Source organism: Homo sapiens, chromosome Y (assembly GCF_000001405.40).
Source record: "Homo sapiens chromosome Y, GRCh38.p14 Primary Assembly".
Classification (NCBI taxonomy): Eukaryota; Metazoa; Chordata; class Mammalia; order Primates; family Hominidae; genus Homo; species Homo sapiens.
In genome coordinates this window covers 13,698,410-13,711,819 of record NC_000024.10, presented here as the reverse complement: position 1 = coordinate 13,711,819, position 13,410 = coordinate 13,698,410, and the positions used below count along the sequence as shown (strand labels likewise).

Genomic DNA, 13,410 nt, shown 5'->3' with positions numbered 1-13,410 from the left:
TCATCACTATCACAAAAGCAGCATGAGAGAAACCACCCCAATGATCCAATCGCCTTCCTCTCTTGATACACGGGGATTACAAATTGAGATGAAATTTGGGTGGAGACACAGAGCCAAGCCATATCATGCAAAATGGTCTTGAACTGCTGAGCTCAAGCCATCCACCCACCCTTGCCTCCCAAAGTGCTGAGATTACAGGTGTGAACCACACACCCAGAAGAAACTAATTGTGTATACTGACTTTGTATTCTGTGACTTTGATGAATTGTTTACTACTGACATTTTAGGGAGTGGAATCTTTATAAAGGGATTTCTACCTTAAGATTATGTTGTTTGTGAAAAAAGAGTTTTACTCATTTCTTCATTTCTTACTTGAATGACTTTTATTTCCTTTTCTTGACTAATTGCTCCAGCTAGAAATTCTAGTACTCATATTTTGTTGAATAGAAGTGACAAAAGCAGAATTCCTTGTCTCGTTGTTTATCTTAAAAGAAAAGGTTTCAGTCTTGCATTATTGAGAATAATGTTAGCTACAGGATTTGTAAATATGACATTCATTATGTTGAGGTAGTTTTCTTTTGTTCCAAATTTATAGTTAGTTTGTTTTTTAGTCCTGAAAGGGTGCTAAATTCTTTAAAATCATTTTCCTGCATCAATTGAAACAATCATAAAAGAACAATTTTTTCTTTTCACTCTATTAATTTTTGGTATATTGAACCATCCTTCTGGTCCAAGAATAAAACCTACTTGTTTGTGCTGGGATTTAATGTGATAGTAAATTTGATTTGCCAATATTTTGTTGAGGGTTTCTGCAACAATCCTCACCAAAAATATTGGCTTGTAGTTTTCTCATAGTATCTTGGTCTGGCCTTAGTATAAGGGTCACAGCCTCATAATGTGAATTTGAAAGTGTTCCTTTTTTAATTTTTAATTTTTGGAAGCATTTCAAAAGGATTGATGTTAATATTACTTTAAATACTTGGTAGAATTTGTCAGTGAATCCCTTTGTTCCCAAACTTGTGTCCATGTATGCACACATGCATGTGCTTTTGTTTATTGACTCTTATTTCCTTACTAATTATAGGTATATTCAGAGTTTCTATTTCTTTATGAATTATTCTTGGTAACTTGTATGTTTCTAGGAATTTGTCTATTTCTTCTGGGTCATCCAATTTGTATGGCTATAATTGTTCACAGTATTGTTTTATAATCTTTGCTTTCTGTAAAATTGGTAGTAATGTCCTGCTTTCTTTTTAGTTTTCCATTTTTTCTTAGACAATCCAGATAATGATTTTTCAATTTTTAAAAACTTTTTGAAGAAACATTTCATTAAATTTATTTTCTCTGTGGGTTTTTTACCCTCTATTTTACTTGTCATGCACTAATTGTATTTTTGTTTTTAATGCTGACAAGAACCAACTGATTTCCTGACATTGTAAAGAAGCATGACCTGTTGTTTGAAACCTATGCTTTGGATATGGCTGAAATTGTCATAACAATGGGATGGGGCAGTAAGTTTTATAATGATAGCCCTTTGTCTAATTTGGCTACCACGCTGCCTTGTCTACCTCATCCTTCTTTCCTTAGGTAAGTGCAGGCCTCCACAGTTATCATTCAGCTGGTCCTATGATGCAAAGCCCAAAATCACCCTCACACCCTAATCAAACTTCAATGGAAATACTTAGCCTGCAAAGAAGATGATAATGAACCAAAATTGGTACAGCTAAATGCTTAGATTCTGCTCATTACTAGATGTCAGTATCTAGGAGAGGAACAGGAACAAAATAAACCACAGTTATTTCAAAGAAATATGGCCAAAAGTGTGGAGTTACTTTTTATGGAGATGGTTCTAAATGTGTGAATTAGATTCAACTTTGGATTTACCTCTTTCTTTCATTTGAAGAATTAATTCTTTGAAACCTGGTTGAAGACTTAAATGAATTCACTCTGGTATCCCACCCTCCTGTTAGGAAACTTCATGACCTATATCAGAAAAAAAGTCCTAATAGGATGAAGGCCCATACACTACACGCCAATATGATTGTTCTTTTTTCTTTTCTTTTCTTTTCTTTTTTGAGACAGAGTCTTGCTCCATTACCAGGCTGGAGTGTGCAATAGTGCAATCTCGGCTCACTTCAACCTCCACCTCTTGGGTTCAAGCGACTCTCCTGCCTCAGCCTCCTGAGTAGCTGGGACTACAGGCATGTGCCACCACTACCAGCTAGTTCTTGTATTTTTAGTAGAGACAGGGTTTCACCATGTTGGTCAGGATGGGCAAGATCTCGTGATGTGTCCGACTCAGCCTCCTGAAGTGCTGGGATTATAGGCATGAGCCACCATGCCCAGAAAATATGTTTGTTCTTAATGCCTGAATGTATTCATGCATCTCTTTTGTAACACTGAACTTCTAAAGAGGAACCTTAATGGAACTTTAGAGAATTACCTTAGGCTTATATGATGCTTTAAGAATTTATGTTTGCATGTAAGAATTTGGATTCCTAGTTTAAATTATCAATAATTCTTAAAATGATGAGTTCAGGGTTGCATTACAATGCTTTCTTCAAATAATCCAGTTTATATTCTTCTTTAACCCATTAATATTTTTTCTAACTTTTCGGACTTGCCCTCACAGTATATCTTCCCTTTATTAGAGTATACATTTATTTTACCAGAAGTGTTTTATTATATGGTTACCCATGTTATTTATCTCCATAATCATAGCAAACATACAACTGAGTCCAAACCTTCGATGTTATCTCCAATCCCTGACCTTTTGTGTGTACTCACTTAGGGATCCTATAAGATTTTCCGTATCACCTCTTATATCATGGAGCAACTTTCTGATTAATATGCAAAACTTTAATTTTCCCTTCCTTTTACAAATCTACCTTTTTAGTAAAATGTTCCTGCCCACCAATTTACGACTTCAACCACCAGAAAATTTTGCCTCATCTAGAAGATATATTGATTTCAAATTGACAATACAGTTGCTGTTAAGTTTTTAATGTACAGATATAGTCTAAGAAACTGTATACGTCAATGATTCTGCCAAAAATATATATAATTTAGTAATTTGAAATCTATTTACTCTTCTGTTATTTATCTCCATAATGATAGCAAACATACAACTGGTTTCAAACCACTGATGTTATTTCTGAGGTGTTTATAGGTGTTATTTCCACATCTCTATTAAAACTGATAGCAATGGCCATGAAAAGTATACTGTGTATGTGTTACAGCCTGTCTTATTGAAATGTGAACTAAGAAATACTAATAAAGGATGTATTACCACCTCATATTGTTATTATAACAGAGGGTACTAATCTGCTTGTTTAATGACAAATATGGATAGTTTCTTCCTTGCCCTCCTTTCTTGTAAACTCATTTTTAAACAGAAATAGTATACCAGCTGCCTCATGTGGATGAAAGGATTTTACTTTTGTTATCTTCCAATTACCTAAGAATAACTTTCAAATTTCTTAGCCAGGGACATACCCTTCACAGTATAGTTCTCATTTATCTCCCTGCCCAACATCTTACAAAACAGAAACTCAATGTATAGTTGTTGGGTAATGAGCAGATACATGATTCATGCTGTGCATAGTTATTCACATACACAGGTCTGTCTTTCTGACTAGACCAAGACTAGGCTCAAGTCTTGTTCATCTTTCTATTCATGGCAACTGGAAAACAGCAAGGCACACAGTATGTGCTTAATGTTTCTTGAGTAAATAGTGACTTTTTCCATCCTCTAACGAAGTCATTATTTTAGGTTAAAATCACCAGATAGTGCTATATGCATAGTATATTGGAATAATTAAGTATAATATTAATTAATAATGAATTACATGATATACTAATAACTTAATATTATATATGTAAACATTATAAGAACTATAATATATATTACATACTGTATATTATATTAACTATTATAAATATTATATTTTCATGAAATATTTTTATTTCTAAATTGGGACATTATCATGAGGTGTTCATGTAGCTAAAGGATATCAGCAACTTAAAAGCTCAATATGGTAATGAAGAAAGACATAATTTCCTGTTTGATAATAATGTGACAGGAATAGCTCTAATGCCTTCAGTGGATCACAACCATAACTTGCTCCTCTAGCCAAGGTTCAAAATTGTAAAATCCTACAAAAAAGTGACCAAATTATCCACGTGGTTTTATTATTTTTCTAAGTTCTTTGAAGGACTTTAACATGTGAGCTACTGTTTTTGCCCACAACAATCCCACAAGACTAACACAAGAATGGCAAGAATTTACCAGGAAAGTGTTCTTCAAAAAATACAACATCTACATAACAAAGTCTTAGTAAAAGATTTTAAAATGGCATCCATCCATTCCACTCACTTCTAGATCTGGAGCATTCCTCAGAATTCTTGGAAGATATCAGACAACAGTTATAATGTCCAATTTGTGTATGCTCATAAAATATTTTACTGCAATGCAAGTCATCAGTTGGTTTCCATCAGAATTCATTGACCATTGAGCTTTGGAGAAATCTGGATATAATAATTTTAGATACCTTTATAAAAACATTCAGCTGGGTGCAGTGACTCAAGCCTGTAATCCCAGCACTTTGGGAGGCCAAGGCGGGTGGATCACCTGAGGTCAAGAGTTCGAGACCAGCCTGGCCAACATGGAGAAATACCATCTCTACTAAAAATACAAAAATTAGCTGTGCTTCGTGGTTGAGCGCCTGTAGTCCCAGCTATGCAGGAGGCTGAAGCAAGAGAATAGTTTGAACAGGTAGACGGAGCTTGGAATGAGCCAAGATCGCACCACTGCACTCCAGCCTGGGTGACAGAGCAAGACTCCATCTCACAAAAATAAATAACTAAAATAAATATAAAAACGTTCATAATCAGATTTAGAGGAAAAGGACATCTTCTAGCTGATGAAGGAAACACAATGTAAGATACTATCTTTTTAGTTAAGGCTGTATTTCTTATGGCATATAAAAATAGCTGGCATGGGCCAGGCAAAGTGGCTCAGGCCTGTAATCCCAGCACTTTGGGTGGCCAAGGCAGGTGGATCACCTGAGGTCAGGAGTTCAAGACCAGTCTAGCCAAGGTGGTGAAACCCTCTCTCTACTAAAAATACAAAAATTAGCCCAGCATGGTGGTGCAGCCTGTAATCCCAGTTACTCAGGAGGCTGAAGCAGGAGAATTGCTTGAACCGGGAGGCGGAGGTTGCAGTGAGCCGAGATCGCATCACTAGACTCTAGCCCAAGCGACAGAGCAAAACTCCGTCTCAAAAAAAAGACACCTGTCATGTTGGAGGCACTCAATAAATACTGGCTGAATGAACTAATGATCTAATGCTCTGGACTAATAATATATAATAGTATATAATTGACTATACGTATTGATTCAAATCAGCACAATCAAAAACAGTGGCAAATTCCTGTGTAAATACATTTTAAAAATATATTTAATATTGTACTATTTCACATGATATGCATGTGTTCAAAGGGACCTCAAAAGAAGCATGTTTAATAACTCTCCAACAACTACGGGGGCAAAGTGTATATTAAAGCCATCATGTATGTCCATTACTATGTGAGGCACTTTGGGAAATAGAAGGAAGAGTACACAGTGCATGCCCACAATGAAGAGTGCACGCGCACAGTGCATGCATGAACCCTGCCCACCGGTCTCAGAAGCCAGGAGTAGGGATAGCCCAAGCATGTCAATGTGACCACAGATAAAACGTTACATAAAAAGCTAAGGAAAATATAAACCAAGTAAATACAGGTCTTAGAAGCATATTTTCTTCTTAGCTTACTTTATTGCACACTTACGTCTTAAGTTTGTAATTAAGTCCCTTCTCACTACATGCAACAATATAGCTGAACTCTAAATTAGTGCTTATTAGTTGTAGATTACAGTATAAGCCAGTTTTGAAAACATAATCTAAAGGTAATCTCAATTAGCCAAAAAAAATCATCTCCCAATTAGCTAGAATAAAGAAGGTATTTTACATATCCAGGTAAAACATATTTCATACTGTAACATAATTTATTCAAATCGTCAGCTTTTAAGTTATTCTTTGCCTGTGAGGCCAAGGGGCACGCCACTTTGCAAACGTTTAAATGGTGAATAAAACACTCTTTCCAATCAACAAGCAATCTCACAAGCAGTGGTTTAAAAATGTCTTTTTTAAATAAAAACTGTGCATTCCAAAAATTAAAATCTTTCAAACAACAACAAAAATGGCACGCTGATTAAACTTCATTTTAGATTCTGCAGGACACTTGGCCCAACTTGGTTTTACTCTAGATTTCACTGCCCTCCCACTCCGCTAAGTCTTTCACCAACATTCAAGCTATTTTCCTTCCCTGCCAGCCAGACAGGCGATGGGAGAAGCAGGCGTGGCCTCCATTGTCAGCAGGTCTTTGATGTCAAAAGGGCAGCATAGTCCTTTCAAACTCATCCAACGTGTTTGCATCTAACCAAGTTAAACAAGTAAAAGAAGTAAAATAAGAAAGCAATGCTTGTAGAATGTACAGTAGATATTGGTGGCACATGCCTGTTTAAGATTCGCCTGCTTGCCTCTCCTGTTCGATAGCTGCGACCAGAAAAAAACAGAAAAGGAAAAAGATGGAGTGGGATGATTAAGGGGTTTCAGTACAGCCTAATATGGATGGGATGATTAAGGGGTTTCAGTACAGCCTAATATGGAATTAAGGGGCTTTCATTTGCAACATCTTGTCATATCCTAAACGTTCTGCAAGTGTACCTAGCTAGGCATGTCATAATCAAATAAAAAATGTATATTGAGTATATTAAATAGCCGTACATTTTCAGTGATAAATGTGTTTGTATATTATTATAGCGCATTAAATATTGCATTATTAAATTAATGAACCCTGTGTTCATGCAACCTTCCCCCTTAAGGATCGCCCTATTGTTTTGTTTGTTTTTGTTTTGGTTGAGATGAAGTCTCCCTCTGTCACCCATACTAGAGTGCAGTGGCAGGATCTGGGCTCACTGCAACTTCCCCTCCCAGGTTCAAGCAATGCTTCTGCCTCAGCCTCCCAAGTAACTGGGATTACAGGCGCCCTCCAGCAAACCAAGTTAATTTTGTATTTTTTGTAGAGACGAGGTTTCCTCAGGCTGGTTTCGAACTCCTGACCTCAGGTGATCCCCGCCTTGGTCTTCCGAAGTGTTGGGATTACTGCACTAAAAGTTATCTGATTTTTAATTAACCTTTGCAAGCCACATTCACCAACTATCTGCTCCTTGAGCGCCCTCCCCTGCCTCCCGAATTCTTCCCGTGGCAGCTCCCAGTCTCCCGCCCTCCCACCGCCCGCTCGCATTCCAGCCTTTCTAAAGATGGGGGAGGATCGGAGCTTACTTTCTTTGGAAGACAATGGATTCTTCTCTTGCGTTTCTGTCTTCTTCAGTTTCGACTTATCGAATTTCTCGATCTCAGCCATACCAGGTTTGTCAGACATGGCTGCGGAGGAAGCCGTAGGGAGCAATCCAAAGTGAGCGTGAGAAACAGCCACCTGTCCGGGTCTCTGTACTGGGAACTGTGCTTCTGCCCTCCGACCCGCAACCTGAGAAAGCCCTTCTCGCCCTCCGTCCCCTGCTGTTTCGCGCTCATGAGCTTCCTCTTTCCACAGAAAAAGAGGCGACACCTTTCCTCAAATATTTGAAAACGCAGGGGACCAAAGAGGACAGATCCCTCTCAAAGTGGAATGTTCCGGAATAAAGGAATTTGACCCCTGTGAACTGTTAATTACAGCGTTTAAAATTAAAGGCTGGCTTGGAAGAGAATAGGAAAGCCACTTCCGCGTTCAAGTGGTTAAAATCGGGCAAGAATTCCTAAAATGGAGCCCAGGTCGCAAAAGCACTTCCATTTTGTAGCCACGGCCTCTCTGCAAACAACGCAGGCCTGGTCCTGCGCCCGCTTTCTAGTCTTCTCACGTAGGCGGAGGCTGCAGCTGGAGCTTGCGACAACCGCCCTACCAGCTTCCTCGCCCGCGCCACACTGCAGCCCAGCACACAAAGCGCGGCCCGGAAGCTAGTCCTGCCGGCGCTCTCGGCATTTCGGCATCCCTAGCACACATGCCTCTGCAAGAAGGGCTGTGAAAATGTCACAGCGCAGCGCCGCCGCTGCCAGGCTGCACAGATGCAGCCCGCAGAGCCGTCTGAGGCTGGGAGACGGCTCGGGGCTCGGGAGATGAGTGAGCCTCAGAACAAAGGATCTGTCTGTTCCCACATCTCAGCCTCCAAGACAACGCACAATACCTTTGAGAGCAAACACTAAGAAATTTTTTTTTTTTTTTTTTTTTTTTTTTTTTTTTTTTTTTTTTTTTTTTTTTTTTTTTGAGACGGAGACTCGCTCTGTCGCCCAGGCTGGAGTGCAGTGGCGGGATTTCGGCTCACTGCAAGCTCCGCCTCCCGGGTTCACGCCATTCTCCTGCCTCAGCCTCCCAAGTAGCTGGGACTACAGGCGCCCGCCACTACGCCCGGCTAATTTTTTGTATTTTTAGTAGAGACGGGGTTTCACCGTTTTAGCCGGGATGGTCTTCATCTCCTGACCTCGTGATCCGCCCGCCTCGGCACACTAAGAAATTTTAACACGAACCCTCCGAGCGGCAGTACATAAACGCCGGTTTATTTGCTTTGTTCTTAAATCATCGATTTCCCCACCGCATTACCCAGCATCTAGGGTGTTTCGCATCCCCACCTCCCCAAGGCAGCTTTCCCGGGGATAATCACTCGGCTTGGCTTTAGGGGATGTCTTCACAGGGACGCGAATAATGAAGGGGCAAGCGCGGCATGAAGGGGAGGGTAGAAGGAGTAAGGATGCAGGGGCCCTGGGGCTTACCTAAGCCAGGCGCGTAAGGGAGTGAAATCTAGTCTACACAGTGTCCACCGCGGAGTTGCCAGGACGGGATGGGCAGGCGCTACTTTATAGCCCTCCTATGTAAATGAGTTGATGTCACCCACAGGCCCGCTTAAGTCTTTCGCTCCACGTCTCGGAAGGGCGTCTGAAAGCTGCCGGGCGGTTGGGGAGCCCCAACGCCACCCTAGGTGCACCATTGCCCCCTAACCACAACGATGGCGAAAGATAAAATGAGCAAAGCACCTTCCAACACTTCCTTCAAAACGCATTTTCCCCTTTTACAACAGGAGCGTAAAAATTGCTCTTGCGGACTGGTGCATATTATTTAAGGGTCGGAGTAATACCTAGGGTAACAGGCATTGTTTTACTGAGAAACTGGCTTTACCTACTGAGGACATACGCACGCAAAGGCGCGGTGTCCCTCCCTGGAGTGCCTGGTCAGCTACAGGGATATCATTCCTGTGACTCAGCTTTCAGACCAGTGGAGGCCTATGCGCCCCACCCCGGACCTCTTCCTCACTGGCGTTCCTCTTGCCTTTGGCAGAAGGTAAAGCAACCCTCAGTGATTTTAAAAGAGAAACTTTCAGCCTTGTAACATCCATATTGTTTCATTAGCATAATTTTTGTAGGCACTCAACAGTAATATTGAGTGTAGGGTAATATTGTACTCTACACTCTGGGTGTAGAGTAATTTGTCTGGAGTTTATAGCTCCCTCTTAGCAAAATAAGTCAATTTGAAGCTCTGCCATTGACTTACTGCCTGACAATGAGGAAATTCTTTTCCTTCTTGTTTTTTATATTCATAAATTGTCAGAGTGATTGCTAAGAAGGACTGTGTTGAATTCCAAAGACTATAGTCCCATTACCTCTAACATCATAAGATAAAATTCAAAAATCAAACTATATTTTTAAGGGAGTGCTTCCAGCACTAGGACATCTCCGAAGTGCAACTGCATCTGGAAATATAAAAGATTTGGGTAGAGGGAAGCACTTTTCAAAATGACACCTGACTGTGAATTCCAGTGACCCACTTGCTAATGGAAATTAGTTACAAATACCATGTCCTGCGCCTGCAAATGGCGTGTGAAAGGAAGACCCGCCGGTTACAAAGAGGCCTAACTGTGATTATTTCTGAGACAAGGCAGTGTGTAAAATATTTCTTTTTTTCTGTAACCTGAGCAAATGTTTTTTAGAAATCCGTTGCTAATTATTTTGATGGCACAGGTTTTTGTGTCGCTGGGGATTAGAGTCACAGACTTCCCCGTTTCTTCAATTGCTTGACTTCCTTTTTCCTAGGGAGGAAGAAGGTGGGGATGAGCAGAGGCAGGTGCCATCTGGTTCCCTAGGTAATGTTCTGCTGGGTGGCTGCCTTCTTGCCCTCCGAATGGGGCACAGGACCTGTTCGTGCGTGCACCGAATGTCACCTGTCTGGTAACAGTCCCCCTTCCCTGTTCCATGTTGGGAGTCCACTTCATCGTTGAAACAGAAAAGATCTTGCAGGGTGGCTTTTCGCCCGTTCAGCCTGCAGCTGCCGTTGTACCTACACCGTTCCCGCAGATTCTGCGATTCCATTTCCCCTCACCCAGCTGCTGTAGAAAGTCATTTATTTCCTCCCCATGTCTCCTGATGACAAAGGAGTGCCACTACCTTCTTGTGGCCTCTTCTCCCAAAGGCTTTTCTCAGAAAGGGTTAGGCCTCACTGAATCAATTCCCTAAAGGAGACGGTCGAATGCAAACTTGGAAACGTCTGGAGAAGTTTTCCAGTGCGGTAGCAAGCAGCTTTCCACTGTGCGGAGACACCGATAGGCAGGTGGGAACAAAGAGAAGAGAGAGAGGTGACCTGCTTAAAAGAAAAGAGTTCCCTTGATTGGGCTTGACCTGCCAACTGGTCAGGAAACCTACAGAGAATGGAAAGGGAAGGGTTGTTCAGATACAAGGAAGTGCAAACCAAAGGAATATTTTTAAAAGTTACATGACTGGCCATGTGAATGAATCTTTTTGTGCTAGAGTTTTCTCATCTATAAAATGGGTTCATTGCAGTACCGACCTCACAGATTGGGAGGATTAAATGCTCTGGAGTGCATGACAATTAGTAAGCTCATTGCACTGTTAGTATTATTAGGATGGAAGGTTGGGGACAAAATAATAAAGTAACTGTTTTACTGTTTAGAATAAATTAAACATTTTAGATGTCTTGATATTATGATTTGTCTTATAAAGTACCAGTAAAAATCAGGTCTTTTGTTAGTTTTACAGTGAATAAAATATACGAGTTCCTATTGGTTGACACCTTCTAAAAGTCAAGTTTTGTGAGTTTTACAATTTTTTTCATTTCATTTCTACTGCCTCTCCATAAAGAGAGGTTTATAGATGACAAAACTGAGGCCTAAAGAACCCTTATGTAGGTAACAGAGTTATGAGTTATGGCTTTCTATAACAAAGTACTGAGATAACCCCGTTATATATACTAAAGGGCACATAAAAGTTCTCACGTTTATTTCCCTATTCTGTGCCTGAGAATCACCAGGAACACTGTAAGAAGAGGAGGCTGTTTTGCTTTCCACAATGTCTGGAGGATAGTAGTTGCTCAATGAACAGTTCTCACACTTCATTAAATTGACTTTCTTAAGTGACGGAGCTACTTTAGACTCTAATCAGCTTATTTTCTTCTGCAGATAATTAAATCCATTTAGTATTACTATTCTAGATTTTAGAGAAAATTCTTGTCCCAAGGAAAATAACACGTATAAGTCAGTTAGAATATGCTGAGCACAATCACCATTAAGAGAGGAGTTTTCAATCCCAATTTGGAAGACAGGCAGAGATAGTGCAAAAGGCCCTTAGTAACTCCAGGTTGCGTGGTGCACTCCGGACTGAGGGCTCTCCAATGTAAGCTGAATAAAAAACACTTTAGCCTGAACTTCTTCCTCATCTCATTGGCCACAGTGCCTACTGAAATCTAAGTTCATGAAAATTAAATAGGTTAAAAATTAACCTATTTAATTTGCTGTAGAGAACTTACCAGAAGAAAAGGAGAAGAAAGAGGAGGAGAAACAGAAGAACAACAACAACAACCTTGCTTGGTCAAGCCCAGAGTTCTTTGTCTGGATTTCACTGGATTTCAAAGGCTCCTACCATCTGCCCTACCTGCCTGCACCCAAGACTCCCCTGTGGCCCCTGCAGTACCCATCTGCTCATCCTGGTCTCCCTCACAGTGGAATCCTCCTTCCACTGATGGGAATCTAAATCCTCTTAAAGACATAGCCCAAGGACAGGCACACGGTGGCTCATGCCTGTAATCCCAGCATTTTGGGGGGCCAAGGTGAATGGATGACCTGAGGTCAGAAGTTCGAGACCAGCCTGGCCAACATGTGAAACCCTGTCTCTCCTAAAAATACAAAAATCAGCCAGGCATGGTGGCACATGAGTGTAATCCCAGCTACTCGGGAGGCTGAGGTAGGAGAATTGGCTTGAACCTGGGAGGCAGAGGTTGAAGTGAGCCAAGATCATGCCACTATACACCAGCCTGGGTGACACAATGAGAGTCTGTCTCAAAAAACAAGACAAAACAAAAAGACACAGCCCAGGCTGGACGTACTGGCTCACACCTGTAATCTCAGCACTTTGGGAGGTTGAAGAGAGAGGAGTCCTTGAGTCCAGGAGCTCGATGCATTGACCTGTAGTCCCATCCACTCAGGTCGCTGAGAGGGGCTGGTCACTTGAGCTTGAGGGGTGGAGGCTACAGTGAGCTGTGGTCAGGCTGCTGCACTCCAGCCTAGGCTACAGAGGAAGACCCTGTCTCAAGGAAAAGACGCACACACACACACACACACACACACACACACACACACACCCCCCACAGCCCAGTTTCCCCTATTAATGATAGAGAGGGAAAAGAAGAAAGAAGAGAAATGATACTTAGTGGATTAGCTATATCTTGTACTCTCAGTTAAGCCCTTTTATATAATATCTTATTCAATTCTCACTCTATTAGTACCCACCTACATTAGTGCCTATATTAAAATTAGTACCTATAGTAGTGGGTACAATATCTTCATTTTTACTGCTAAAAGAAACTGAGGGTGGGAAAATGTTAAGCAATTTGCTAGAAACCAAACTCTCGGATCTACCTGCCAAGCACTTTCATGAGACCCATAATCTGCCTTACTTTTAACTGAAATACATCTTTCTCCAAGATTCTCACTTTTAGTGGACCCAAATTTTACAAAGTGTGATGGTACAGAAGGCAACCCATGCAAATGTGAGAAAAGCGAGCAGAGGATAACAACAAAGAGGAGTGAAAGAATACCTTCTAGAGTACTCAGTGCTGAGTGCAGAGTGCCATGCTGCTAATTGTCCTGTTGCTTTATTAATCCAGTGGAAATGTTAGAACCAAAAGAAATGTAGAAGGGGATCTCCTTCAACCCAGTTTTCCTTCTGTGGCTTGAATTTTCCTCTATAACATCCCCTCCAAATGGTTATTCAGCCTCCACATAGTCAGGGAACAATATGGGAGCAGAGAATCT

General features: G+C 40.9%; 1 protein-coding gene across 1 annotated transcript; it reads right to left on the bottom strand.

Moving 5' to 3' along the window:
- Positions 1-5,795: 5,795 nt before the first annotated feature.
- TMSB4Y (thymosin beta 4 Y-linked) lies at positions 5,796-7,921 on the bottom strand. Its single transcript, NM_004202.3, has 2 exons — positions 7,385-7,921; positions 5,796-6,595 (listed from the first exon to the last, which is right to left on the bottom strand). The coding sequence occupies exons 1-2, from the start codon at positions 7,482-7,484 to the stop codon at positions 6,561-6,563; spliced, it is 135 nt and encodes a 44-aa protein (NP_004193.1). The 5' UTR covers positions 7,485-7,921; the 3' UTR covers positions 5,796-6,560.
- Positions 7,922-13,410: the final 5,489 nt, after the last annotated feature.

What these genes read in the sequence shown, in the direction of transcription:
- TMSB4Y (NM_004202.3), bottom strand. Translation starts at nt 7,484, where the DNA reads ATGTCTGACAAACCTGGTATGGCTGAGATCGAGAAATTCGATAAGTCG. An exon ending in TCCATTGTCTTCCAAAGAAA is followed by an intron (nt 6,596 to 7,384) that starts GTAAGCTCCGAT and finishes TTCTGGTCGCAG; the next exon opens with CTATCGAACAGGAGAGGCAA.